Source organism: Homo sapiens, chromosome 15 (genome assembly GCF_000001405.40).
Source record: "Homo sapiens chromosome 15, GRCh38.p14 Primary Assembly".
In the NCBI taxonomy this organism is placed as follows: Eukaryota; Metazoa; Chordata; class Mammalia; order Primates; family Hominidae; genus Homo; species Homo sapiens.
Window position 1 is genome coordinate 91,932,047 of NC_000015.10, and position 25,074 is coordinate 91,957,120.

General features: G+C 46.4%; 1 protein-coding gene across 3 annotated transcripts in view, besides 1 other annotated feature; it reads left to right on the plus strand.

Annotated features, from left to right (window-relative positions):
* The window catches only part of SLCO3A1 (solute carrier organic anion transporter family member 3A1), a 318,728-nt gene that overhangs the window by 78,339 nt on the left and 215,315 nt on the right, over positions 1 to 25,074 (plus strand). The window lies entirely within an intron of this gene.
* Positions 18,033 to 18,905: an enhancer, noted in NCBI's record as "H3K27ac-H3K4me1 hESC enhancer chr15:92493309-92494181 (GRCh37/hg19 assembly coordinates)". NCBI's record gives its function as "activates a minimal SCP1, AML or CMV promoter by ChIP-STARR-seq in primed H9 embryonic stem cells {active_cell/tissue: H9 hESC(primed)}" and the evidence as "EXISTENCE:reporter gene assay evidence [ECO:0000049][PMID:30033119]".

Sequence of the window (25,074 nt, forward strand, 5' to 3'; positions counted from 1 at the left end):
GAGAGTGCATATCGTATGCAAGGCACTGAGCTCACTGTTGCCTTTATGATTGTTCACTTCATCTTCATAATGGCTGTTTTTCCTCAGTAGGAAACTGAGGCTCAGCAGAATTAGTAACTTGTGCAAAGTCATACCTCCTAGTAGGTCAGTGATGAGACTTGAATATAATGTTCACTGATCAAATCTGGCCTGAAATTGAGATTTCATAGAATAATTGATTTTTTGTCATCATGGAAAACTTAAAACATATTCAAAATTAAAAAGGATGGTTGAATGAATCCCTGTGTGCCCATTTTCCAGTAATTATCAGCATGTTGCCTTTCTTGTTTTATCTCTACCCCTACCTGGCCTCCCTTCTCCGTGATTATTTTGAAGCAAATTTTAGATATACCATTTTATTAGCAGTTTTTTTTTTTTGAGACAGGGTCTTGCTCTATTGCCCAGGCTGGAGTGCAATGGCATGATCTCGGCTCACAGGAACCTCCACCTCCCAGGTTCAAGCAATTCTGCCTCAGCCTCCTGAGCTGCTGGGATTACAGGCATGTGCCACCATACCCAGCTAATTGTTGTAAGTTTAGTAGAGATGAGGTTTCACCATGTTGGCCAGGCTGGTCTCAAACTCCTGACCTCAGGTGATCTGCCTGCCTCGGCCTCCCAAAGTGCTGAGATTACAGGCGTGAGCCACCGTGCCCGGCCTATTTGCAGTTATTTCTGAAAGTTATTTCAAAACATAATCACAATCCCATTCTCATGGTCGTTAGATCTAGAGACTTTATCAGCTTCAGGTTTCATTTCTTAGGGGCACTGATCTTTAATTGGTGACAATGATGATGATGTGTGCTTCCATCATGGGACACATGTAGCTTTTGTGGTGTTAACAGCTATGCTTGGCCATGGCCTTGGGGGTGGTGATATTTAAATTCCATCATTACTCCTTTGATTGCTTCTACTAAGAGAATCTTCCCCATTTCAACTATTTTGTTATCCTGAGTTAGAATTGGAATGAGAAAAGGAGGAAAAATCCTCCCCAATTACTAAAAACAATTTAAAATTTAAGATTTTTTTTTCGGTTATTTTTCTCCTTAAGGTATATCCTATTAGAAATATACAGCAAAATTACTGTGTTTTACAGTAATGGAAAATGGCTTCTCTCTGTGCAGTTATGACTCCAATGAACAATTAAGTTTGCTTCATTTTGCTTTTGATTTTTATAGATTGCTTTTCCAAAAATATATAATTATGTAAGCTATTTACAGGGCTTCAAACTCAAATCTACAAACCAAGAATATTCTGAGAATTCTAGCTTCTAAGCCTGTCATTTCTGTTCCATTTCTTACCTTGGAAGTAATCAATTTTTCTTTGTTTTTGGATTTTATCTTTCTGTTTTAAAAAATGACCAAATACATTTATATATTATTAGCTTCCTTTTTTGTAATAAAATGTAGTTTATACAGTTTCTCTACTTTTTCACCTAAAAAGCATACTAAAAAAATCACAGAATATTGCAGTATATAAAGGATCAGGATAACAAGCAGTACATAGAGACATAGAATCATTGAATTTTTAGAGATGTTAATAATAGCAAACATGTGGCACTCTGTGCTACACACTGTTTTCAGTGCTTTACATAAAGTAACTCATTCTTGTAACAACAGTAATCTTCTGGGGGTATGTACTATTATTATCCTCATTCTGTAGGTGAGGCAACTGAGGCACAGAGAGGTTGGGTAACTTGCCCAAGGTCTCAGAGCTAGTAAGTAGCAGAACTTGAATACAGTTGTCTGCTGTTAAATGCCACATTACACTGCTTCAGAATTGCCAGAGTTTAATTTTCTGATTTTTATGAGTCAGGAAATTACAACCCTAGGATGGTTATGTTAAAGATCTGAATACTCACGTGCCCTGTCCCCAGGGTTCTTACTTTTTCTGATGGTACTGGCTTTTCTTGCAGCTTAGTGTTGAGTCTGGGCTTTGATTTTTACCTAACTATAAGCTAAAAACTTAGACTGTTATTTCATGGATGCTCAGAAGACATGAGACTCCTGGATCAGAGACAAAGGGCTTTATTACTCATTGACAATAATCAGTATGTGTGTCTGTTCTTCTTACCTTGTAAGTACCATAGGGGTGATGGTGAGGACCAGGTGGATGTCTGTACCCCCAGTGAGTGTTACAGGAGAGGAATACTGAATTGGGGAAGTACACTACTTTGACGTCAAGCAGTAAGCAAGCCTACCCTTTGCCCCAGAGACATACCTTTCCTCTTTCTTCAAGGTTGCTCACTGGGAAATGGCTAGGCAGTGAATGGTCAGGGTCTTGCATTCTTGGCATACCCAGCAAGACATGTAGAAGCACAGAGACCCATGGGTCACTGTCTGCCAAAATGCTTCTTTGCACCGGTTTTAATGATTTTAGAATAAAGGGAAAAGCGGGTGCCCCATACCACTTCTTTGCCAAATGACTTCTTTTTAATACATTTGCCAGTATTCCCTGATGCATTTACTCCAGGTTTTGTCATTCTCAAATTCTAGCCATAGCAAAAAGAGTCAACTCTTGTTTGAAGACCACCTTTAACAAATTCTAAATACTACTACATTGCAAATCTATGGGTTTTCTCTTTTATTTGTAATGGGGACCATTTTAGAATTAGCTAGAGAGATTAGGTTGACAAGCATTGATGAATTTCATTACCACATAATAGATGGTTTCTTTTTCATTTCCTTTTCTATTTTTCCGGTTGAACTTCTTTTCGATGTTAAGCCTAGTTTTTGTTGCCAGTGAGTTGTATAATTCCGTAAGTTACTGCCCTTCCTAACTAAGGCCCTGACTATAACTTCGCCTTTTTATGGTAACACATATTGAGCTTTGATTGGTAAAACTCTTTGGAGGCGTCCTTCGTGAATTTCCTGACTTTTTTTTTGTTTTTGAGACAGAGTCTCGCTTTGTCGCCAGGCTGGAGTGCAGTGGCGCCATCTTGGCTCACTGCAACCTCCGCCTCCTGGGTTCAAGCAATTTTCCTGCCTCAGCCTCCTGAGTAGCTGGGGCTACAGCCGTGTGCCACCACGCCTGGCTAATTTTTGTATTTTTAGTAGAGACAGGGTTTCACCATGTTGGCCAGGATGGTCTCGATCTCTTGACTTCGTGATCTGCCCGCCTCGGCCTCCCAAAGTGCTGGGATTACAGGCATGAGCCACCATGTCCAGCCCAGACTTCTTAGGATAAATAAGAAATAGTAAGGGTTCAATGGTGAGAAGTGGCCTTTTAAGTTGCAAGAAGGAAAATGGCAACACAAGGGACTTTTGTAAATGTGGTGTAATTCTCCTCCATTGAGGAAGACTGGGACCCGAGGATCAGAGGCATGGAGGGAGAGAACACAAAAAACAGGACCTGGGCTAGAGAAGAAAGGTCAAGCCAAGGGGTGCAAAAGCCATTCAGCACTCAGCCCACCCCTTACCTTAAAACCTAGCCCACCCCTATTAGCTACTAGGATGGGAATTGTTGAGTTCAACCAGCCTGATGTTTGCAAGTATGATGTGCTAGACATGGAGTAACGCCTCAGCTTTTTCCTCTCTTCTGAATTTTCATGCAAGGTGGTAGACTCTGGAGTGGTGAGTGGATGGGAGAGAGAAGGGCCTGCCACTTCCTTCCTGGGGAATCCTCAAGAGGTTTCACCTGCGTTGCAGAGACTGAGTTGCTGAGCAGGTATCTGTGCCTATATGTGGTCACTCTTTTAGGAGATTTTACACTTCTCACTGGGCCTCTTCTTGGAGTTGTTTTTTTTTCTGTTTAACCAATCTCAGTGGGGTCTTTCAGGACCTTAAAACTGTTTCAAGGGACACCACAGTTAGCCTGGGAAACATAAGAGGAAATATAAGACCTAATTATTAAAGTTTGCACAGCTTATCATGGAGAGAGCACTGCTTAAGCCCTTCCTAACATAGGCAGATCATCGAGCAAGGAGTCACAAGTGGGTTAGTGACTGAGGGTGAGGGCTCTGGAGCCAGATGGTCAAGGTTTGCTCCTAACCCTGACTAGCTCTGTAGCTTAGCTTCCTCCCAGATACAACGGGAATGATAATACTGTGTCTCTTATTAGAGATGCTGTAACGATTATAGGAAGTGACATGAATAGGTGCCATGACTGGCACATAGTAAGTGCTCAATGCGTTGTTATTAAATTGAGGATTGGGCACAAGCCCAATCTACTAATTTACATGATTTCTAGATTTAAGCTATAGGAGGTTTTCGTCCTATGATCTGGAGCTGCACTGTCCAATATGGCATCCACTAACCACATATGGCTATTTAAATTAACAAAGCCAAATACAGTGAAAAACTCAGTTCCTCATTTGCACTAGCTAGATTCGAAGACCCAGTAGCCACATGTGACTGTTGGCTAGCATTTTGGAGACTGTAGATTGTTGAACATTCCTGTCGCTGCAGAAATTTCTTATGGATAGCTCTGGCCTGGAGGGTTTAAACTTTGAGGGATTTGATGACTGCGTGTTTTATTTTGGAACTTTTTTCCTGATCCCAGTTTCTTTTCTACAAATAGAAAAGAATGCATGTCGTGCGGCTTACAGGAATGTACAGACTTCAGTGAGTATGGGATTCACACAGATGAGGAAGCCCTTGCAGATACATAGAGGAGTAGGAGTTTCTCCAAGGTGAAGGCTGAGGCTGTCCTGAGAGGTGGCCAAGGGTCCCTTCAGTGCCTTTTAGTCTCAGTCTCCTGTGCAGACCCTCTGGGTGAAGGAGGCTGTATTTCCTCCATTGCTTTAGCCCCCAGGAGGACATTCCTGAGTTCGATATTCTGTCCTGTTTCTCTCGTAGGCACCATATGTCCCAATTTGGGTTCCACAAATATGGTCACTGTGATTATGGGGCACATAAGGCTTTCCATTTAAGTTGCTGAGTACAGATCATTAATCCTGTTCAGCCTGTGCCCCCTGAATCTGCAAAGAGGAAGAATCCATCCTGAAAGGGGCCAGAGAGCCAGGATGCCTTTGTCTCCCTTTCTTTTGGGTTTTATCTCCATGAGAAGTGGGTGAAGGGTGTCAGCTGTGTATTTGTAGCTAAATAACCGGCTGTCTTCCCAGCTGACGATGTAAAAGGAAACCACCCACTTACATTAAAATGTGTTTCTGCTTTATGAGCTCTGAGGGTTCATTAGAGATGGCGTTAATAAGGACTCCTGTGCTCAGCTGTCAGCTTTCTGCCTTACCTAGGGGGCAGGTAGCACGGGCAAAGCACTCTCTAGGTGCCAGGCCCCATGGGGAACAAGTGGCGGGAGGCAGAAGCTTTGACTGTTCTGCCCGCAAAGCATGAAGGGTCTCTGGGAGGCAGCCAGGTGCAAGGGGATTTCTGAGCTGCATTTTAAAAAGTGGGAGTGGGCCAGGCATGGTGGCTCACACCTGTAATCCCAGTACTTCCGGAGGCCGAGGTGGGCAGATCATGAGGTCAGGAGTTTGAGACCAGCCTGGCCAACATAGTGAAACCCCATCTCTACTAAAAATACAAAAAATTAGCTGGGTCTGGTGGTGGGTGCCTGTAATCCCAGCTACTTGGGGGGCTGAGGCAGGAGAATCACTTGAACCCAGGAGGCAAAGGTTGCAGTGAGCCAAGATCATGCTACTACACTCCAGCCCGGACGACAGTGCAAGACTCCATCTCAAAAAAAAAAAAAAAAGTGGGAGTGAGGCTTATAAATCTGTGGAAAGGGAAGAAGGGGAGGGGGACATTCTGGGAAGCACAGGTTATGCAAAGTTTTAATTTGAGACAATGAGAACAGGATATTAGAACAACTTTATTGCTTCCTAGTTATGCAGTCTTGCATAATTGACTTAACCTTGGTTTTCACATCTGTAAATTTTGGAGGCGGTATCTACCTTATGGGGTTATGAGTACCTACCTTATCGGGCTGTTCTGAGGATGAATCAGTTAATACAGGTGAAACATTCAGATTCCCACCTGGCTCAGAGGAAGCAATCAGGGAAAATTAGCTTTCGTCATTATTATTTATCTTCTTCCTCTGCATATTGCTCTTATTATTGAAAGAGAAGTAGTTTTTGGAGATGAATTCAAATGCCATCTCTGCCAGTGACCCTGCACAAGCCACTTGGAGCTTTCTGAGCCTCAGTGTGCTCATGATTAAAATGGGGTAATACTATCTGCGTTATGAGGATTCTTGTGAAATTTAGGTATTGTCTAGAAAATCCCAGTGCAGGGCCCAGTATAGAGAAGGTACTTAGTAAGTGTTAGTTTCCTTCTCTCCTCCTTCTCCCAAATTTCCTGGTAGTAATTTGGCAACCCGTTTAGTTAAAAAGTGATGAGACGAAATGGCATTTGAGCAAGATTAACTCAGCAGCTGTGTGTAGGATGGATTAGCTCATGTGCAACAGTGCAACTTGGAATACTCTAAACATTGGTTTTTTTTGTTTTTTTTTTTTTTTGGTATCTAGGTATTTGTGTCACAGTTACAAGATGGTTCCTTATATCATTACAGTAGCTTTTTCCATGTGTCAGGCTACTCTGAATGCTTTACACGTATTTGCTGATTTGACCCTCCAGACAACTATAAAAGGTAGTACTGTTGTTCACATTTTACAGATGAAGTAACTGAGGCCAGAGAGATTAACTTGCCCACGATCACCCAGCTAGTGTGTGGTGATGCGGGATTTGAACCCAGGCTTCAGAATCTATGCTCTTCACCTCAGTGATTGACACTTTTGAAATTTCTAGACAGCAGGGGGCTGTTTGTTGCATTTCTGAGTTATGGAACATGGTAAGACTAGGAACCACAGAAGGTTAATCAGGGGAAAAAGCATAGGCCACCAGGAGGTTTTATCCTAGTCCGGAGAAGTTGGGTAGGGAAGGGCAGGCCCCCAAGACTTTCTAAACGTAGCTGGGATGTTGTGCCCCCCTCTGGGCTCATCTGGGCCTGTCCCCTGCTCTACTTGTGGAAGCTGCCTTGGGTGCTGTATTAGATTGTTCTTGCATTGCTATAAAGAAATACCTGAGACTCAGTAATATATAAGAAAAGAGGTTTAATTGGCTTATGGTATGGCAGGCTCTACAGGAAGCTAGTGCCAGCATCTGCTTCTGGGGAGGCCTCTGGGAAGCTTCCAATCATGGTAGAAGGGAAAGGAGGAGCAGGCACGTCAAATGGCCAAAACAGGAACGAGAGAGAGAATTGGGAGGTGCCACACACTTTTCAACGATCAGATCAAGAACTCGCTCATTATCACAAGAACAGCACCAAGAGGATGGTGCTGAACCATTCATGAGAAATCCACTCCCATAATCCAATCACCTCCCGCCAGGCCCCACTTCCAACATTGTGGATTGCAACTTAACATGAGATTTGGGTGGGGACACAGATCATATAGGCGCTATAGCAGAAGAATGTGGTTCTGCAGCAGGAGCCTCCACCTCCCAGCTTTGCAGGGCTGGGCAGACCTTCCCCCATGGTTCGCTGGCTGCAGCCAGGCCTGGCAGAGGTGGGCAGATGCTCAGCCACAGATGGATGCCACGCTGCTGCCAGCTCCAGCACCTCCTAATGAAGTGTTTCATGGGTCCTGCATGAAGGTCAGCAGGCAGTGACAGAGGGGGTGCCAGGCTTCTTCCCTCCTCCTCTGCAGCATTCCAGTCATAGCTTGGACTCTTTCCCGTCAGTCTTTGCCTCCTACCCGCCTCCTCCATTCTCCTCCACACCTTTGCCCAGGACCTCTACGCTGCTATAAAGACATCAGCAGCCCCCGTAGCTCACAGGGTGCTGCTTCGAGCCATGCCAGCCCGCTGCTGATGTGACACAGCTAGCAATTACTGAGTTCTTCCCACGGGCCAGACACTGGTTCTATCTACTTAGCACAGAGAGGCCTAGTCACTTGCCTGGGGTCACATAGCTAGAAAGTAGCAGTCCAACCTTGAACCCTGGCAGTCAGGCTCTGGAGCCTATGTACCCAGCCCCTACCATTTGCACCGGGAGCTCTCACCACATGTTCCCATTGGGCCCTAAGCTCTTCCTTTTGTTGCCTTTCATTTCCTTCTCTCCTTGTTCCTGGCCCTACCACTTCAAACTTGCTTTCCCTCCTCTCCTAGCATCACATCCAATGACAGCAGCTCCTGCCTGGCATTGGAGCCATTCAGATCTCCTGTGTCTCTGGGCCTAGGTTCAGGTCAGTGTCCTGTCTGTTTCTGGTGCCTTCCTCGGGGTCCTGATACCTGCCCTTTCTGATACACGTGCAATCCAATAGATGACAATGTTTGCCAAGCCTGAGTCTGTGCCAGCACCTTGCTGAGCACTTCACAGCCCGTGAGACTCCCCCAAGCAGCTTTTATGGAAGAGGGGATCCAGACTCAGGGACATTGGCTTAAAGAGGTTGTAGCCAGTCCCCAGGGGCCACTGACTCCAGACCCAGGTGCATATCACAGTGCCAAGGGGCCTTTCTGTGCTTACAGAAATGAATCAGTTGGCATAGTGAATTTCAAATCAGTGCTTAAACTGATGGCCCTTTTTGTGGTTCAGGAAATTTGTGACAGGGTGATCCAAGAGCACCACTCATCTGGCACCCTCTGTCACTCAAAAAACCCCTGACACACACTCACATGCTCATGTGAGTCGACTGTTTCCTCCTGGCTGTGTTTGTACCAGTGTGCCTGTGAGTATTGATCAGGGTTCAGGGGCATCCTCCACAACCCAGAGAATGAATGCCCTGTGTAAATCCCCCTTTCTATGGGGAGATGTGAGTGAGTGAGTGGTGAATGAGCGAATATTCTGCTTCCTGATTGCTGCCTCTCTGAGCAAGGTGTCTGCCCCCTCCTAACCACCCCAGCATTTCTGGAAACCCTTGAGAACATTCCACTTGGGAGCTGCTAAATGTTAATGAGGGATCAGGTCAAGAGGGGCCCCCTTGACCTTTGCCCTTGGGCTTTGCCACCCTGCCGTTTTAGGAGGGTGATTTATTGAAGTGAAGGTAGAGGGAGTGGGTGGAAAGGAAATCACCCTTTAAAATTTATGACCATTTTCTCTGACATTAACGTGCAAGCCTCTGGCCGTGCAATTAGAGGTTGTTAGGCAGCTACAATGGGAAATTAATTCTGTAGGCTCCCTTGCCTGGTTGTGGGCAGCACTGCTCCAGGGCAGGTGGAAAGTAGGCTTGTTTCACTGGCCTGGCCGGAAGGTTGTAGTGTTCTCCTGAGAAGGGAATGTGAGCTGGTTTAGGTGTGTTGGGGCAGGGCGGGGCTCGGCTGGGGGGTGGGAGAGAGACACTGAATCAGTGCATGAGTGACCAGCTAGGACTGAGCCCAAAGACCTGAGATTCCCTGGGAGGCTGTGGGGTCTGCCACCCAGCAGATCTGTGTCACGGGAGTGGCGCTGTCACTCGTTGAGGTGGTGGCCTGGTTCCTTTGGCCTTAGGGAAGGACAAACTTCAACTCTGAGCCTTGATTGAGTGACCTTGGCCAAGTTACCTAGCTTTTCTGAGCCTCACTTTCTTGGCAATTAGATGAACCAGAGGTTTATTTCACTCAGTAAGTAATCTTTTCTCTTCCTTCGTCTTGGAGGTTTTGAAGCTTCTAATCTCCCATGGGTTTTGTACTTTTTCTTACTCGGGATGTTTGTTTCTCTTTGTCTTTAAAAAAATTATTTTTCCTCCTTTTTAATTTTTATGTTTAAAATATCTTCTATTCATTAACCTTCATGGAGCTTGTCTGTGTGCAACTTCATCTGAGAGCGCTCAGGCTTCCCTCTCTCCTCTGCCCAATGCAGTGCTTTGCATACTGTAGGAGCTGCATAAATGCCACTGGCTTATGGGCATCTGCAGTTCTGAGAGTGAGGGCTGGGGGCTGGTCTTAGGAGGGCAGCTCTCAGGCTACAAATGGGGGCTTGCACCAGCGTACTGGCTGAGGACTGCCTGCCTTTGAGCTAGGTCTTACCCATCCACGACAAAAATGAGAGAACAGTACAAGGTGGAGAGTTTGTCATAAGCTTAATTTATTCAATTTAGAGTCTTGTTCTTTATTCTAGACAATGCCACCACCTACTGTTTTGCTGTTTAAATGTACCTAATTTTAGGAAATCATAATTTTGGATCACGGCAGCTTTTCTTATTAAAATTTTACTTGTAGAAATAAAAAGGTGGCACCTCTGTCATTTACCCCTCAATATTTTATATTTGACTCTTCTGTGAAATCCAAAAATGTAGCAACTGCTGAACCCCACAATGTCTGATCTATAGCAGGCATTTCAGAGCCTCCAGGACTTGATTAGATATTGTTACACAGTGGTGATATGAGAACACACACCTGTCCATCGTTGAGATTTTGTTTTATGTATATTCCTATAGCTGTGCAGGTAAAACATGCCATTTAGCAGTGCTACTATGGCACAACTGCAGGGGGCACCATGTAGAGACCGTAGTTGGATGTGGCCTGGAGTTGTGTGTCAGTGGCCATCCCTCTTAGATTGACGATGCCCAGGCTCACTGGTTTTCAAACTTTGTTTTGCAACAGAACTCTGCTGGAAATGTATGTTTGTTTGTTTGTTTGTTTGTTTCGAGACCGAGTCTTGCTCTGTCGACCAGGCTGGATTGCAGTGGCCCAATCTCAGCTCACTGCAACCTCCACCTCCTGGGTGAAGGTAATTCCCAAGAAGCTGGAATTACAGGCGTGCACCACCACGCCCGGCTAATTTTTGAAAAGAGATGGGGTTTCTCCATGTTGGCCAGCCTGGTCTCAAATTCCTGACCTAAAGTGATCAGGTCACTGATCACTCCTCCCAAGGAGCTGGAATTACAGGCATGAGCCACCACACCCAGCCCTTTGCTGGAAATCTTAAGGGGAGTTCCCCTATTGATCAGACAGAGCAGAACTGCTCTGCCCGAGTGGGCGTGGGGCCCAGGGCCCAGCCGTTTGACCTCGTTCTGCCTCCCTTTCTCTCCTAAAAGCATCTCCCTTGACCTTCTGTCCTTGTAATTAATTCAGGTCTCCACAGAGCACACTGAAAACCTCAGGTCTAGTCTCATTTCCATTTTATAGAAATTGATGGTAAAAGACACATAGCATAAAACGTAGCATCTTACCCATTTGTAAGTGTGCAGCCTAGTAGTGTTAAGGACACTCCCAGTGTTGTGCAATCTCCAGAATGTTTCGTGTTGCAAAACCGAAACTGCACTCATTAAACAACTCCCCATTCCCCCTCCCCTCAGCCCTTGGCAACCACCAGTGTGCTTCCTTCTGTCTCTGTGAGTCTTGCTATCCTAGTTACCTCCTGGAAGTGGAACCCTACAGTATCTGTCCTTTTGTGACTGGTTTACTTCACTTAGTATCATGTCCTCAAGGTTCATCCAAGTTGTAGCCTGTGTCAGAATTTCCTTCCTTTTTAAGGCAGAATCATATTTCATTGTAGGTGTAAACCATATTTTGTTTATCCATTCATCTGCTATGGACACTAGGATTGCTTGCACCTATGGCTGCTGTGAATTAATGCTGCTATGAACCATAGGTGTGCAAAATGTCTTTTGAGTTCCTGCTTTTAATTCTCTTGCTTACACCCAGAAATGGAAATGCTGGATTATATGGTAATTCCATGTTTAATTTTTCGAGGAACCGCCATACTGTTTTTCATACCCAGTGCATAATTTTCATGTCTCATTGTTGATAAAATAGAGGTGACTAGGAGGCTCCAGGAAGAAGCCAGAGCCCCAGAGGACACAGAATGGCCTGGGAATGTATTCCCTCCATCTGTGCTAGGTCATGATTTGGGCATCGCTGGCTTCCTCTCCCCAGAGGCCAGCTCTTGCTGGATTCCAATGACCTGGTTCCCTCTTTGTGCCTCTTCAGGGCTACCCTCTGGTGACTGCCTCCCATGTTGCTTGTCTTGGGTGCCTTAGCATCCCTCGGTGGGTCCCTTGGCTCTGCCTTCACTTCTGTCAATAGACCTCCATTAGCTGCTCTTCATTGGAAACTTTTGAGCGTGCCATTTGCTACCTGCACATCTTGTCTGATATAATTACTAGCAGGATGACCTTGGGCACATTGCACAACCTCACTGTACCTCAGTTTCCTTCATCTATAAACTGCCTCCCTAGGGTTGCTGATGTATGTTGATCTATTACAAAGGACTGAAAACAGCCACTGGCACATAGGAAGCCCTCACGTAAGTGTTCACCATTATTTGTATGATTACCATATCCCTGTGCAAGGTCCCTCCTAAGATGTAAGCTGCCTTAGGTCTCCAGGGCTCCCCCTTTGGAATGTGAGCCCCTTACAGATTCAGTACCTGATTTCTGGGCTTCGAGGCAAGACAGACATGGCCAAGGGGAGAAAAGCAGTATTGGAAGGATGCTCCCAGACCTATCCACCAAAGTGAGACAAAGCATTGGGTGAACCCTCTTCTCAGTACCAGCTTCACAGAATAGTAAGCAGCTGCAGCGTGGGGCTCAGAGTGGCTTTGGCTTCTGTGCTTACTTAGCAAGTGATCCGTCACAAGTCCTGCCAGCTCCCTTTGGAACTCTGTCACCCCGCTCAGCCATGGACAAGCAGACAGCCACGGATATTATGACAATGCAAGTCCTGGAGGGTTTGCATCTCTGATATGGAGGAGTCAGAGTAATCCTTCCCACTCTCCCCCGAGATGCTTTTCAAAGAGGAGCCTGCTTTGAGTTCTGAACATCTGAGTCTTTCACGAAGGAATGTGGAGAAATCGAGGGGGCTTTTCTTCCCTGCAGAACTGATGATGGCCATCCAGAGGGGGAAAGGCACGAGCAGGCTCCCTCTCTCTCTCTTTCTCTCCCCCTCTTTTTTTGGGTGCAACAGAAACCTTGCACTTCCCTTAAGCTTTCTGTAGTACATGTTAAGATTCCTCTGCCACGCCCAAATTTCAACTTTTCTCCAATATTCTCTTTAACTTAGAATGAGGACTCAGGCCCTAATTGAATTGTCTTTGAACAGTTTTTGTTCTGAGCTATGAACTGTATATTCCCTTTATTCACCCAACAGATATTTATTAAATATTTTTGGTTGGGCATGGTGGCTCATGCCTGTAATCCCAGCACTTTGGGAGGCCGAGGCAGGCGATCACGAGGTCAGGAGTTCGAGACACCCTGACCAACATGGTGAAACCCTGTCTCTACTAAAAATACAAAAATTAGCTGGGCATGGTGGCGTGTGCCTGTAATCTCAGCTACTTGGGAGGCTGAGGCAGGAGAATCACTTGAACCTGGGAGGCTGAGGTTGCAGTGAACCTAGATTATACCATTGCACTTCAACCTGGGAGACAGAGTGAGACTCCATCTCAAAAAAAAAAAAAAAATTACGTGGCTGGCACTGGATTCTGTACTGGGAATGTGATGAACAAAGGAGATAAGGACCCTGGCCTCGTTTACATTCTAATAGGGAAGACAGCCAAAAGTGAATGAATAAGTGAATACGTAAACAGACACAATAGCGGCAAGTTGTAATGAGTGCTGTGAAGGGGAAACACCGAAGGCAGCAAGGACAGCATATGCAAAGGTCCTGTGGCGGAAAGGGAGAGAAAGTTACTATGCCAAAATAACACCCCAGGGGCAGAGGGAGATGGAGAGTTGGAGAGGTGGCCACAGCTGGCCCCACAGGGCCTGGCTGGCTGCAGGAAAGTTTCAGAGTGCTTTTCTGAGTGTAATGGGAATCCACTTGCAGGGTTTAGGTAGGAACAATGTGATCCGATGGTGACTGGCTACTGTGCTAATGGGTCTGGGTGACTGATTTGGAGGCGACTGAAGATAACATGTCACCCTGGGCTACCAAGGAGGCAGAGAAGGTTGGAGAGATTTTCAAGGCAGAATTGAGAGGAGTTCCTGATGGATTGTGATGGAGAGGGAGGGAAGAGAATTTAGACAATGAGAAAAATCCCAGATAATGCCTAGAGCTTTTCACTTTCTCAAACACTCATCCCTTTTCCCTCTTATTTTGATTAAGCACTATCTGTCATTTTCTTTGAACATATAAATATCACTTGGTGATAGCGAAGTAAAAGCATCAGGCATGATCCTGCACTAGTTTGTGGGCATGGATTCAGTATGGACTTCTTACTTCAGGGAGTGTGTCCCCAGGTCACCTTGGTTCTGTGGACGCTGAGAGCAGGCCTCTTGTAATGCAAGTGCTGAGAAGACTTAGAGATAATTAGGGCAGCGTCTTCTCTGCGGAGAGGTTGAGCCACTCAGCTGGTGTCACCCAGCTGGTCAGTGGCAGGGAGCCAGGCTGCACGTCTTTGATTTTTAACCTACACTCTCACCAGTGAGATCAGCCCTGGGCAGCCTGTGAATCTGATCGTGTTACCTTCCATTGATTCCCAGATACCCTGTGTTCCAGGCAGTGCCAAGAACCAGTGAGGAGCACTCCGGGCCCTGGTAGACAGAAACATCCTTCAGAGTTTATGGCAAACAGGAGAGATTTGAAAGTGGCCAGTATGTAGGGAAATGGTTCAGTCAGTTATGTTATATGAAAATGATGGAATATTTCCCAAATATTAGGTAGTGGTCAGAAGAATATTCTGTAACTTTGGAATGCATGTGGTAGAGAACCAAGTGAAAAAATAGGACTTCGTAGTATGGGTTGAGTGTGCAATGCACTTAAGGAGAAGGACTTGGGAGGATTATACTGTTTCATTTTTCCTAAATATGTCTATGATGCAGTTACATGAAAAAGGAAGCATGCTGTCAGAACCCCCAGTTCCCAGTTTAGTTGTCATAATGCTTAAAGGCCAAGGGGTAAGAGCAAATGACTGGAGTTACCAAAATTCCCCTCCGAGGAAGGGCAGGTCGGCGTCCTTCTGCAAACATTCTTCTAGCCAACGGAACCTGCCATTGTGGAATGGCAAAGGTGGGGACCTGCCGTGCGTGCTGCTGGAAGAAGTTTATAATCAAATGTGTCCATGAGTCCAAGACAGGATGAGTCAATGGTGCTCACGGAGGACTCTTCCATCCCCAGTCATACCCCTTAAAGCAGCACAAAGCAAGCTCCTGTCATCGGGTCCCGAGTGACCACAGGATGTTATTTTGGCCTTTGGCCCTGTGTATTTCCTTCCCTGGCCTTGAGAGGGCTGTGGAGGGCAGATCAACAGGGCAAAGGAAGCTTCGCTCTTTGAAATATCCATGCTTGCCCCTTCTGGGACCTCCCTCCTGGGTGCACCTCTAATCATACGACCCCTCCTTGTCGAGGACCGTCTTTTCCGAGGCTCTGTGGCATATGGTGACGATGACATAGGAAAAGCAGCTTATCTTTGAAATTCAGCTTGTGAATTCCAATTCTGTGAAATTGTGGGAATCCTCAGGCCTTTCCCGAACAAGCTCCCGTGCTCTTGGTCTGGTTGCCGCTGGCAGAGTTAGTGTCTTTTAGCTTCTCACTCAGGTGGTGCTTTGTTGCCTGGACAAGCTATACTCCTTCTTCCCTTTTTTCTCTGCTCTGGAGTGTTTTTGTGGGGTGAGGAGAGCTCTTAAATCCTTCTAGGTCTTGAGATGATGACACTAGGAGCCTGGTCATTGTGGGCAGGAAGTAGACTATAGATAGGGCCGACAGATCGTTGCCTTCGGCCTTTGTCACTTGTTTAACCCACTTGAGTGTTTATTAAAAATGTGAGTTAGTTCCCGACATTCACTCTGGATCTAGGCTTCTCCTGGAGCAATAATAGCTGAAGCCAGAAGCGTCTGTGCAGCAGCTAGACGGGGCAGGTTGCTCCGATGGCCCCATTGCCCTCCCAGACTGCTTTCCTCGTTAGTACCCCCTGCTTGGCCCTAGCAGCCAGGTGACTTTGGGACCCTGGGTCGGTCTGTACACTGCAGAGTGCTGTCTTGGATCCTGGGGCTCTTATTGACACACAGCTGCTGGCAATTCCCCTTTGGCCCCCGTGCAGGTGACCGAAAGTGACTGCAGCCCAGTTAGCAGGGGCTTTTCCAGTTCCATGTGAGAATTGTTTATCCTCCCAACTAGGTGTTCCAGCAGGGCCGTGGGAGCAGAAGCAGAATTCAGATGACAGATAGACGAATGGAGATAAAATAGAGATTGACTTCTGCATTCCTTGCTCAGCTTTCCACACCCTAATAAAAGTCTGAGCCAGAAAGTGGGTGGAAGCCCTGGCCCTTTGTTACCTGCCCTTTGTTTCAGTGCCATGCGGCTAATGAATGCCGACCTCCGGGAAGCTTTTTCCACTCCTGCTTGGCGCATGAGAATACAACCAGCTGGTCCCTCCACAGTGGGCTCAAATGTGACCCTGCGTAGTGCTCCTGGGAGGTGCATTTGAGCTGTCCTAGAAGGGCTTCCAGAGCTCGAGCTGTTGCCAAGTTTAGAAGTGGCCGCATGTGTGGTGCCAGCCACAGCATCCTATTCCTGCAGATAAGCCTACAGGCTCTGTAGGAGTGCCGGCATGCACACAGCACCACCTGGGTGGAAAGCAGCAGTCATTGGTTAGGAATTTGGGGATTTTCTAATCTAAGTGTTCTCCCAAGGAAGTGCAAGTCAGGAGAGGGCCGAATGTGCACGAGACTCTGCAGGAAGGCTGAAAAACTTTCAAAACAGTACAGGCAATTAATCAGGGATGCCTGCATGGGCCACTCTCTGGTGCCCTGTGTTTACAGACATGAGGGCTGGGTTTTCCTGCCCTGAGAAGAGAGGGCCGTCCAAGGAATAGGAGAGCCATGGCACAGGAAGTGGAAAGTCAGTCTGGGATGTAAAGTTGGAAGTCAGGGTCCTTTGGGTCCTGTATCCTGACTAATGACCCCAAAGATATTCTGGGTGGCATGTGCCAGCCTCCTTGCCAAGTGTCTCAGAGCCTGCAGAGCACCATCCATCCTCAATTCCTTTAATAACCTGAGGAACCTGTCATCCATTTAGGAATCAATACTTTGGTTTTTTTTTTTTTACTATTATTTCTGCTTACCTCACCTTTTGGGGGAATCATTCCCTCCATTTTTATCCCTGGTGTAAACTTCCCTGCCCTCTGGCAGATGTCATTGTTATCCTTGAGTATTTATGCAGTTCTGATGTCCTTACTGAGTGCTGACCCTCTGCATGCAGGTATCTAGGTGTGGTTGGGGTGGGTGCATCAAAAAGGCTAGACTGTGTGCAGCTGCTTCTGCACACAGATAACTCTGACACACACCCAAATTGGCATAGAGACTGGCGCTGGGGGGAAGGATGTGACCAATAGGACCAGACTGTCTACCTGGGTTCAAATCCTGGCTCCACCATTTCCTGGCTGCATGATCCGGCACTAGGTTTCTCATCTGTTAGTGGGGATAAGGGTAGTACCCATGCGGAGGGCAGTTGTGAGGAGTAAAAGAGTAACTATACTGTAATCCCAGCACTTTGGGAGGCTGAGACAGGCAAATCGCTTGAGGCCAGGAGTTTGAGACCAGCCTGGTCAACATGGCGAAACCCCATCCCTACTAAAAATATAAAAATTAGCCAAGCGTGGTGGTATGTACCTGTAATCCTAGCTACTCCGGAGGCTGAGGCACAAGACACACTTCAACCCGGGAGGTGGAGTTTGCAATGAGTTGAGATCGTGCCACTGCACTTCAGCCTGGGCGACAGAGTGAGACTCTGTCCCCCCAAAAGAAGAGTAACTGTAGGTGAATTGCCAGCGTGGTTCTGGGCAGCTGTGAAGCCCTATGAAAGTGTGTTGGTGGTTGCCTTTAATATAGAAGGCAGATGAGCTTGTAGTCCCAGCTACTTGGGAGGTCAAGGCAGGAGGATCGCTTGAGGCCTGGAGTTCAAGACCAGCCTGAACAATATAGTGAGACCCCGGCTTTAATAAATAAATAAATAAGCAAGCAAGCAAGCTGAGCGTGGTGCTGCACACCTGTGTTTCCAGCTACTCGGGAGGCTGAGGCAGGAGGATCACCTGAGCCTGGGAGATTGAGGTTGCAGTGAGCCCTCATGGTGCTACTGCACTCCAGCCTGAGCAACAGAACCAGACCCTGTCTCTAAAAAACAACAACGAAAAGAAGGCAGACTGTGATGGATTCTATACGGAAGAGATAAATGCCCTGCTGTGGAAATGTAGAGGAGGAAAAATTAGTCCTGACAAGGGAGGTTTTTAGGAGAAAGGCAGATTGAAGCTGCCCCTGGGGAAGAAAGTTGTAACAGGCAGAGGAAGCAGCTGGAATGAGGTAGGGAGGCCTGATGGTATGGAGTCTGCATGCTCAGGGCTGCCTGCTGTGGCCAGAGATTCGGGTGTGTGTATTGTGGAGGGGATTGCAGGGGGCTGGGGAAGCAGAGATCAGTCTGCAGTGGTGGGTGAAGACAGCCAGTCGTGTTGCACGTGGGACAGGGGCCCTGGCTGGGCAGGCAGGGGGAGCCCAGCCCTGTCACTGGCCATTGATCCCAGGCCTTGACCAAATGGGGTCTCTAATCCCCAAGGGTCCCGGTGGGTTATTAGGAAGGGCAGATGAGCCCCTGCAGGGGAACGTTGTGCAGTATGGCAGGCGCACCCCACATGGGTGTGTGATCCTTTGTTTTTTTGCTGCAGGCTCCATAATGTCATCCGGTCTTTCTAGCCTCCTAAGAATGAGGTTCCTAGTTCTTACCTAATTTCTCTTCAATTTCTCATGCACTGCATCTTCCCGCTGTTTATTTAATGTACATGTTGTCTGACTTCATTTGGTTCTGTATTTCACAACCAGTCTGATTGCTCTTGTCCCAAGTCATTGCTTTTTGGGGTGAGGGCTGATGTGTTGTTGAAAGTCTTTGGCAATGCTTAATTTTATGGTATGTGCAATGCTAATTCTGCCTTTAGTAATTTGATGACAGAGACTTCTTGGGAACCACAGCCAGGGAGCCACCCTTTACTCCACCAACAGGTGGCTTATATCCAATCTGAGAAAGAAAGAAAAAAAAAAAAGTATTTCTCTGGCTTTCACTTCATTTGACAGGTGAGCTGAAGCTATTGTGTGTATTCTCTTAGTAAAGTCAGTTCCCACAGTTCCCTGGGGGTGATGTGGCTTTGAGGTAAGAATGAGGTAACAGACTTAAATGTACATGATTTTATTGAGATAGAATTCACATACCACAAAATTCACCCTTTTAAATTGTAAAGTCCTGTGGTTTTTAGTATATTAACAAGGCAGTACAACCATCACCATTATCTAATTCTACAACATTTCATCATCCCCAGAAGAAACTCCATTAGCAATCCTCTCCCATCCCCTGTTCCCTTACCCTCTGGCAACTGCTTATCCACTTCCTGTCTGTGGATTTGCCTTTTCTGGACATTTAATATACATGGAATCAGTGCAATACGTGGTGTTTTGTGTCCAATTCTTTCACTTAGCATAATGTTTTCAAGGTTTATTCACATTATTGGTAGTACTGCATTCCTTTTTATGGCTTAATAATAATTCATTGTATGGCTGTAACAGATTTTGTTTATTCATCGGTCAGTGAACATTTGGTTATTTCCACTTTTTGGCTAATATGAATAAGGCTCCTCCGATCACTCGTGTATAATTTTCTTTGTTTTTCTTTCTTTTTTCTTTTCTTTTTTTTTTTTTTTGAGACAGAGTCTCACTTTGTCATCCAGGCTGGAGTGCAGTGGTACAATCTCTGCTCACTGCAACCTCTGCTGCCTGGGTTCAAGCAATTCTCCTACCTCCGCCTCCCAAGTAGTAGGGATTAAGGCCTGCACCACCACGCCTGGCTTATTTTTGTGTTTTTAGTAGAGACGGGGTTTCACCATGTTGGCCAGGTTGGTCTTGAACTCCTGACCTCAAGTGATCTGCCTGCCTCGGCCTCCCTAAGTATTGGGATTATAGGCGTGAGCCACCGCACCCGGCCTTGTGTATAATTTTCTGTGCGAACGTGCATTTTTGATTCTCTTTTGTATATACCGAGAATTGGAACTGCTGTGTCGTGTTGTAACTCTAGGTTTAACATTTTGAGGAACTGCTAAACTGTCTTCCAAAGCGACTGCACCATTTTATATTTCCACCAGTAATGTGGATTCTTCACAGCCTCGCCAACACTTATTATTGTCTCTGATGGTAGGCATGCTAATGGGTATGAAGTGGTTTTGATTTGCATTTTTCTAATGACTAATGATGTTAAGCATCATTTCATGTGCTTATCGGCTATTTGTACATGATCTTTTTGATAAATGCCTGTTCTCATCACATCCTTTGCCGTTTTTAAATTATTAGTTTTTTAACTGTTGAGTTGTAAGAGGTCTTTGTATTTTCTGGATACTAGGCCAGATCTGTCATTTGCAAATGTTTTCTGTCATCCTGTGGGTTGCCTTAAGTATACATTCAAACTAGTACCTTTCACTAGAATATTATGCTCTTGGTCAGCCACAAAGGGTAGTGCTCTGAAACTCTACCAAAGAACAGTTGTATCTTTGCATCACCAGCACCTGGGTGAGCACCTGGCATAAAGTAGGAACCGGTGATTTGAGTAAATAAATGAATGTTTCTGTTTGCCACCTTTTGAGAGTAAAAATGGGTGTGGTAAGATAGACAGAAATGGATAATGAATTGCTGAGCCAAACCACAGAGGCAAAGATGCAGGATTGCATGCTAAAGCACCTTGTATCTGGCTATGATGTTCAAGATCAATGAAAGACTGGAGTGCAGATCAGGGATTGCACCTGTGTTTCTGATGCAGTAAATATACTTTTCCGAAATCAATAGGGTGACTCTGCAGAGCCCTGTAAACATGGTGTAATTACTGTGCTGAGAATTACAGTTGTCACATATCGATTCTGTCTTCTCAGCAGGTATTCGTACATTTCCTCCTGCCCCTAGTGCCACTCTGCCCCATCTCCAAAATCTAATTCCCATTGACCGCATCACACTGCTGTGTCCAGGAGGGAAGAGGGGATGTAATGTAGTGAGGGGACTTCAGCTGTACCTTCACCTTGGTTGAGGAAGAGGCAGCTGAGTGAGTCACAGATTTAGGGACAAGGTGGCACAAAGTTGCTCTGAAAATTAGATCAAAGAATCCCAAGAAGTAGATAGGCATCAACCTCAGTGGAAGCTGCCTCGGGAAATAACCTGCTCAAAGAAGGATTTCTCATTCTTCAGAGTAGACTAGGAGGGAGGCTTCCTTAATCCTGGAAACAAGGCCCAGGTCATCCCTGCAGAGGAAACATCTATATATAAAGTGGCTAACGTAAGATAAACTGTCATCTTAGAAAGCATCATTCACTGACTCGCTCATTCGCTCACTCGTTTGTTCTAACCTTCACTGAATAGACACTTGTGTTCTTGGTGTGTTGCAGGAGGGAACTATGCTATGGCTGGGGCGATGAGTGAAGTACAGCCTCTGCCCTCGAGGAGCTTGTGTTCTCCCAGGAGACACAGGCAGTGAGGCTAGAGTGCAGAGATGAACCACCAGAGGTGGTGAATGCGGTGGGGGGAGGAATGGTGTCAGGCCTCTTGGGGAGGCTTAGGAGAGTTACCCACAGGAAGGGAGAGCCTGCCAGGAGGAGTAGGTGTTTGTCAGGCAGACCGGGTGTGCCAGGCAGAGGGGAGCCGCTCATGTTGGGGCCTGCACTCACAGAACTACAGGGCGTGGAAGGGAACTGCGCGAAGCCTGGTATGATGGAGGCAGTTGGCTGCCACCCAGGAGTGGGGAAAGTGAGGTTGGCAGTGGGAATTTCCCACCTCTGTTTACCTCTGCTTTGAGGGGGTGGGGCTGGCAGGAGATTCCAGAGGGAGCATCCCAGGCTCTGAGGGCTGGTCTCAGTGTGGGTGGGAACACTTCCCACACTGCTGTGACTCTGGGGTGATTGCCGTGCTCCTGTATCCGAACACCCGTCTCCATCCAACAGTGTCTTGTGTTGATTCGTCTTTGGAACTATATCTTCCTTCTGAGGTGGAGGATGGGAATGGATTGATTGGAACAGTGAATGGTTCTCAGACTTTTCATTCTCAGGACTCTTACAGATACTGAGGCACTCCACAGATCTTGTTTTTAAATAGGGGTATGTCTATGGATATTTACTGTATTAGAAATTAAAACTGAGGATACACAGGTGTGTGTTCTGTTAGCCATGGGCGATGTCTTCACAGAGCATGTAGAAACCCCCACTCATGAGGGAAAGATTGAGAAAGGCACATACAGTCTGTGAAGATAGTTTTGACCTCCTAGACCTCTCTGCTCAAGGGTGTTAGAGACAGACCCCTAGGGGTTTCTGAACCACGCACTGAGAATTCCATTGGATTAGAAGCTGTGCGGGTGCCCCTACGTTCTCACTTGTCTCTGAGCCCTTTGTGAGTTTCTCAGGATAAACCATCCACCCATGGAAGTGGCAGATCCTGAATGCCATCTGCAGGACGGGCACTGTGCTGAGCCTCAGCCAGGCGGAGACGGGCGGGTACTGCACAGAGTGAGGCAGTCAGAAGTCCTGCCCTCTGCAGTTTCCAGGGGCCCAACATTCAATAAATTGTTGCAGAAGCAAATATTTACCTCACCACTGGGAGAGGGCTGTGTGGGAGAGTGATGAACAGCCTACCTGGTCAGGTGCCCCGCAGGCTTTCCTGAGAAGTGAATCCAGGCGCAGAAGGAAGAGGAAGTGGAAGTTGGTGGGGAAGAGGAAGTGGAAGTTGGCGGGGAAGAGTGTTGCAGGTCCAGGAAGTGGCCCATATATGATTTTTATCAGGGTGGAGCCCCTGTGGTTAGAGCCCAATGAGTGAGGGGGGTAAAGATGGGGAGAGGGGTTGACCTGCGAAGCACCCTCTGCTTCCTCCTTCCTTCTCCAACAGCAAGGATCCGAGGGGAAGGAGTCCATCACTGGCCTAGACACCATACCCTGAACCGCCCCCCGTGGTCTCCCGCTGCTTTCTGCCACTGCCCAAGGGCTGGACAGCACCACCCCTCCTAATTCCTAGGAATTAGGCCCTTCTTGGCTCTGTGCCCTGAGCCATGTTCTCCTCTTGGCCTTGGGCTCTGATCAGATGCTCAGTTGTCTCCCTTCTCTGCTTCCCTCACTTGCCAGGGTCACCTTGTCGTCCTCTGCCTCCTATTGTATATATCCCTTTCATAAGAATAATAGCCCATCCTCACACTGTGAGCCACTGTTGCAGGTGCTCCACAAACATTCCCACCTTCAGTCTTCACCGCACCCCTGTGGGCTTGGTCCTGTTGTTGTTCTCAGCTTCCACGTGAAGAAACTGAAGCCCAGAGAAGTTAAACACTGCACACAAGGCCACATAGCCAAGATGTGGTAGGGTTGGGATTTGAACCCAGGCCAACAGGCTTCCATCTAGATTCTTAACCACTATGCTGGGCTGCTTTTCATTCTATGTCATTTTCTTTTTCTTTTTTTTTTTTTGAAACAGAGTCTCGCTCTGTCACCCAGGCTAGAGTGCAATGGCGTGGTTTCAGCTCACTACAACCTCCACCTCCCGGGTTCAACCAGTTCTCCTGTCTCAGCCTCTCTAGTAGCTGGGACTACAGGCGTGTGCCGCCCCACCCGGCCAAGTTTTGTATTTTTGGTAGAGATGGGGTTTCACTATGTTGGCCAGGCTGGTCTTGAACTCCTGACCTCAGGTAATCCACCGCCTCAGCCTACCAAAGTGCTGGGATTACAGGCACGAGCCACTGCACCCAGCCCATTCTGTGTCATTTTCTTTCCAGCTGTGGACCATGTATTTGTATCCCTAGGCTGAACACATAGTAGGAGCTCATTAGAAATTTGACACATGAAATCATCTTTGTATTCCCTCTTCATGGCCATCATGTCTTGTGCATATACCATTAATAAAGAAACAAGTAATTGGACCAATAAGCAAAACAAACAGCAGTGACTGCCACGTATTAGCGTGTTTGGAATCTGTAATTACCAGCTTTCTTTAGGGCAGAGGTGTGAGTTCATAATGCCTAGACAGGTTCTAAAACCATCCTGGTCCCTGGTGAATATGCCAACAGAAGGTATTGTTTTTACTATTATTACTGTTATTAAAAGCAAAAGCCTCTTGGGATGTGTACATTCCAAGCCCAGGGCTGGGGCTGTTAGTTCCCAGCAAGGACAAGATGAGGAGGGAGTGATTCTCAAGGAGGTGATCAGAAGACCCATCCCCTGGGCGTGCACTGGGGTCAGAGGCCAGCTTTTGGAAAAGGAAAATGAGCTAAGGTCTGGCTATTGTAATTCCCTTATCTCTGACTTCCTGCTGAGGCTGGTTGGTTTCTGGCGTTCTACAGAATTCCCTGGTGGCTTCTCAGCAGCAGGCCTGAGACCCAGAACCAGTGATCATGTTTGTGAGCAAATGACTGAGGAGGATTTGATGCGAAATGGGCTGTGAGTGTTGGGGATAAAGCGTGACTCTCAGTTGTGCTACTTTTTACCACTTCTGGGCAGCCTCAGTTGGCCCGCTCTGTGGGTTTTTCCCTCCAGCTTTGCAGATCTGCAGGCATATTTATTTGTGAGTGGAGTAAGCGGAATTTTTCAAAGAGAAGCAGTTTGCAAAAGATGAAAAAACAACTTGGGATAAATGGCTCATCTGGCAATGGGAAATGGCCTCCGGCATTGAGAGATCTTTAGCCTTGTCTGAGCAAGCAGAGGGGAATTTGGCTTCTGTATCATCTTAGAGAAAGAACCTTTCTGCCTCCTTGCTGAGGCTAGGCCCTGGGGAGAAACAGCCTAAAACCCCCGACACCATTTGAGAATTTAAAAGTTTCCCTGTCCAGTCAACTTTTGTGCCCCTCCTTGTCCAAGCCCCCATGATCTCTGTTCCCTGGACTTGCTGTGGCCTTGCCTTGCCTTCTTTTTTTTTTTTTTTTCTTTTTTTTGCGATGGATTCTCGCTCTGTCACCCAGGCTGGAGTGCAGTGATGTGATCTCAGCTCACTGCAGCCTCCACCTCCTGGGTTCAAGCGAATCTTCTGCCTCAGCCTCCCAAGGTTGGGACTACAGGCGCGCGCCACCATGCCTGGCTAATTTATTTATATATATATATATAGTATATATAATATATAGTATATATTATATATATAATATATAGTATATATAATATATAATATATAGTATATATATAATATATACTATATATTATATATATACTATATAGTATATATAATATATATAATATATATATATATAATAT